The sequence below is a fragment of the Homo sapiens genome, chromosome 12 (genome assembly GCF_000001405.40).
Source record: "Homo sapiens chromosome 12, GRCh38.p14 Primary Assembly".
NCBI classification, from domain to species: Eukaryota; Metazoa; Chordata; class Mammalia; order Primates; family Hominidae; genus Homo; species Homo sapiens.
Window position 1 is genome coordinate 23506112 of NC_000012.12, and position 3842 is coordinate 23509953.

Genomic DNA, 3842 nt, shown 5'->3' on the forward strand with positions numbered 1-3842 from the left:
AGGCAAGGACCGGCCATTTTCACTTCTTTTGTGGTGGAATGTTATCAGTTAAGGCAGGAACAGGCCATTTAAATATCACTTCTTTTGTGATTCTTCAGTTACTTCAGGCCCTCTGGATGTATACGTGCAGGTCACAGGGGATGCGATGGCTTAGCTTGGGCTCAGAGGCCTGACATTCCTGCCTTCTTATATTAATAAGAAAAATAACATAAAATAGTATTGAAATGTTGGGGCAGTGAAAAAAACTTTTTGGGGGGTGGCATGGAGAGATAATGGGCGATGTTTCTCAGGGCTGCTTTGAGCGGGATTAGGGGCAGCGTGGGAACCTAGAGTGGGAGAGATTAAGCTGAAGGAAGATTTTGTGGTAAGGGGTGATATTGTGGGGTTGTTAGAAGAAACATTTGTCGTGTAGAATTATTGGTGATGGCCTGGATATGGTTTTGTATGAACTGAAAAACTAAACAGAATAAGAGAAGGAGAAAAACAGGTATTAAAGGACTAAGAATTGGGAGGACCCAGGACATCTAATTAGAGAGTGCCTAAGGAGGTTCAGCATAGCCTTGCCAGCAAAGATTATTTATTTACTTTAAGAGGAAATTTATTTATTTACTTTAAGAAGGGTGGTTTGGGGATAGCACCAGGAGATATCAGCTGTGATGGCTTGGAGAAACAGTGTAAACTGGCAGTGTAAATAAGAGCAGGGCATTTATGAGTAGTTGAGAACGGTGGATAGGAGTATGACTAGACAGAAGATAGTAGGGATGACAAGTTTTTTGAGGCGCAGTCGAAGTTGGTCTGGTGTCTGGAATGAGACAGGGGCCTAATAAAAAGGAGCGCCTATACAGGAGCTTAAATGGGCTGTACCCTGTAGCATTCCGAGGACAGGCCTGAATTCTGAGAAGGGCAGGTGGTAAAAGTATTGTCCAGTCCTTTTTAAGTTGGGGGCTGAGCTTGATGAGGTGTGTTTTTCAAAGACCATTAGTTCACTGAATACTAAGACCCTGAGAAACTGCTTGGGTGATTTGACTAATAAAGGCCGGTCTGTTATAGGACTGTATAGAGGTGGGAAGGCCAAACCGAGGAATTATATCTGACAGAAGGGAAGAAATTACCGTGGTGGCCTTCTTAGACACTGTGGGAAAGGCCTCTACCTATCCAGTGAAAGTGTCTACCCAGACCAAGAGGTATTTTAGTTTCCTGACTCGGGGCATGTTGAGTAAAGCCAGTTTGCCAGTCCTAGGCAGGGGCAAATCCCTGAGCTTGATGTGTAGGGAAGGGAGGACGCCTGAATAATTCCTGAGGAGTAGTAGAATAGCAGATGGAACACTGAGAAGTTATTTCCTTGATAGATTTCCACGATGGAAAGGAAATGAGAGATTCTAAGAGGTGAGCTAGTGGCTTGTACTATAGCATAGCCTGCCTTTGCTTGTGTGTGGTGATTAGGCCTGGTGGAACTGCCATCAATAAACCAAGTGTGATCAGGGTGAGGAACAGGAAAGAAGGAAATATGGGGAAATGGGTGAATGTCAGGTGGATCAGAGAGATTCAGTCATGGGGGTCAGGTGTGGTATCAGGAATAATGTGGAAGGCCAGACTGAAGTCTGGGCCAGAAACAATGGTAATTGTGGGAGACTCAACAAAGAGTATGGCTGAAGGAGCCGGGGAGCAGAAAGTATATGTGTCAGGTGTGAGGAAGAAAATAGACTTTGGAAGTTATAAGAACTGTAGAAAGTGAGTTGAGCATAGTTTGTGATTTTAAGGGCCTCTAAAATTATTAGGGCGGTGGCAGCCACCACACTCAGACTTGAGGGCTAGGCAAAACAGTAAGGTCAAGTTGTTCACATAAAAAGGCTACAGGGCGCGGTCCCAGTTCTTGTGTAAGAATTCCGACTGCACAGCCCTGCACTTCTGCTGTGGGTAATGAAAAGGGTTGGGATGAGTCAGGGAGAGCTAGAGTGGGGGCAGTCTCTAAAGCTGTCTTCAAGGAACAGAAAGAGGAGTGGGGAAAGGATTTAGGATCTATGGGGTCAGCTAAGTTCCCTTTTGTGAGTTTATATAATGGTTTTGTTAGAATGGCAAAACCAGGTATCTAAAGTCAAACCATGCCTAGGAAGAAAAGGAGTTGTTGTTCTGTAGAAGGTGCTGGGGTTTGAGAGATCAGATGGACACGATTGGCAGGGAGAGCACGTGTGTCTTTATGAGAATTATTCCGAGATAGGTAACAGATGAGGAAGAACTTTGGGCTTGACTGAAGTAATTGGGGCTGTCTGTGAAGCCTTGTGGCAGTACAGCCCAGGTAATTTGCTGAGCCTAATGGGTGTCAGGGTCAGTCCAAGTGAAAGGGAAGAGAGGCTGGAATGAAGGGTGCAAAGGAATAGTAAAGAAAGCATGTTTGAGATCCAGAACAGAATAATGGGTTGTGGAGGGAGGTATTGAGGATAGGAGAGTATATGGGTTTGGCACCACGGGGTGGATAGGTGAAACAATTTGGTTGATAAGGCGCAGATCCTGAACTAACCTGTAAGCCTTGTCTGGTTTTAGAACAGGCAAAATGGGGGAATTGTAAGGGGAGTTTATAGGCTTTAAACTGCTGTAGCAGGCGAGTGGTAACAGACTTTAATCCTTTTAAAGCGTGCTGTGGGATGGGATATTGGCATTGAGCGGGGTAAGAGTGATTAGGTTTTAATGGGATGGTAAGGGGTGCATGATCGTTCACTAAGGAGGGAGTAGAGGTGTCCTATACTTGTGGGTTAAGGTGGGGAGATACAAGGGGAGGATGTGAAGGAGGCTTTGAACTGGGGGAAAAGGCAGCAATGAGGTGTGGCTGTAGCCCAGGAATAGTCAGGGAAGCAGATAATTTAGTTTAAGTGTCTCAGCCTAACAAGGGAACTGGGCAGGTGGGGATAACTAAAAAGGAGTGCTTAAAAGAGTATTGTCTAAGTTGGCACCAGGGTTGGGGAGTTTTAAGAGGTTTAGAAGCCTGGCCGTCAATACCCACAACAGTTATGGAGGCAAGGGAAACAGGCCCTTGAAAAGAAGGTAATGTGGAGTGGGTAGCCTCCGTATTGATTAAGAAGGGGACAGACTTACCCTCCACTGTGAGTTACCCAGAGCATTTGTGTTGGTCTTGTAGGCTTCCGAGGCAATCGAGTAGTGTCGGTCTTCAGCTGCTAAGCCGAGAAGATCTGGGAAGGAGTCAGTCAGACAGCCTTGGGCCAGAGTTCCAGGGGCTCTGAAAGTGGCTGCCAGGTCAGTTGAACAGTCCGATTTTCAGTGGGGTCCTGCACAGATGGGACACGGCTTAGAAGGAATCCTGGTCTGTGGGCATTCCTTGGCCCAGTGGCCAGATTTCCGGCACTTGTAGCAAGCTCCTGGGGGAGGAGGTTCTGGAGGAACCCCGGCAGCTGTGGTTCAGGCGTTTGGAGTTCTTGTGTGCTGGAGATATGGCTGGGGTTTGTCTCACGGTGGAGGCAAGGAATTGCAACTCAGAAATACATTGCTACTTGGCTGCCTCTACTTTATTAATTGTACACCTTGAAGGTGAGGTTAATTAAGTCTTGTTGTGGGGTTTGAGGGCTGGAATTTAATTTTTGGAGTTTTATTTAATGTCCGGAGCGGATTGGGTAATAAAATGTATATTGAGAATAAGACGGCCTTTTGACCTTTTAGGGTCTAGGGCTGTAAAGCGTCTCAGGGTTGCTGCCAAATGAGCCATGAACTGGGCTGGGTTTTTTATTTGATGAAAAAGAGCCTAAACGCTATATGATTTGGGATAAAGAAAAAGGAGCATTAACCTTGACTATGCCTTTAGCTCCAGCCACCTTTTTAAGAGGAAATTGCTG

The 3842-nt window shown here is 45.8% G+C and overlaps 1 annotated feature.

Moving 5' to 3' along the window:
• Positions 3171 to 3355: a silencer, noted in NCBI's record as "fragment chr12:23662216-23662400 (GRCh37/hg19 assembly coordinates)". NCBI's record gives its function as "represses an EF-1alpha promoter that drives an FKBP-Casp9 reporter gene in an ReSE screen in phorbol 12-myristate 13-acetate-treated (for megakaryocytic differentiation) K562 erythroleukemia cells {active_cell/tissue: K562(+PMA)}" and the evidence as "EXISTENCE:reporter gene assay evidence [ECO:0000049][PMID:32094911]".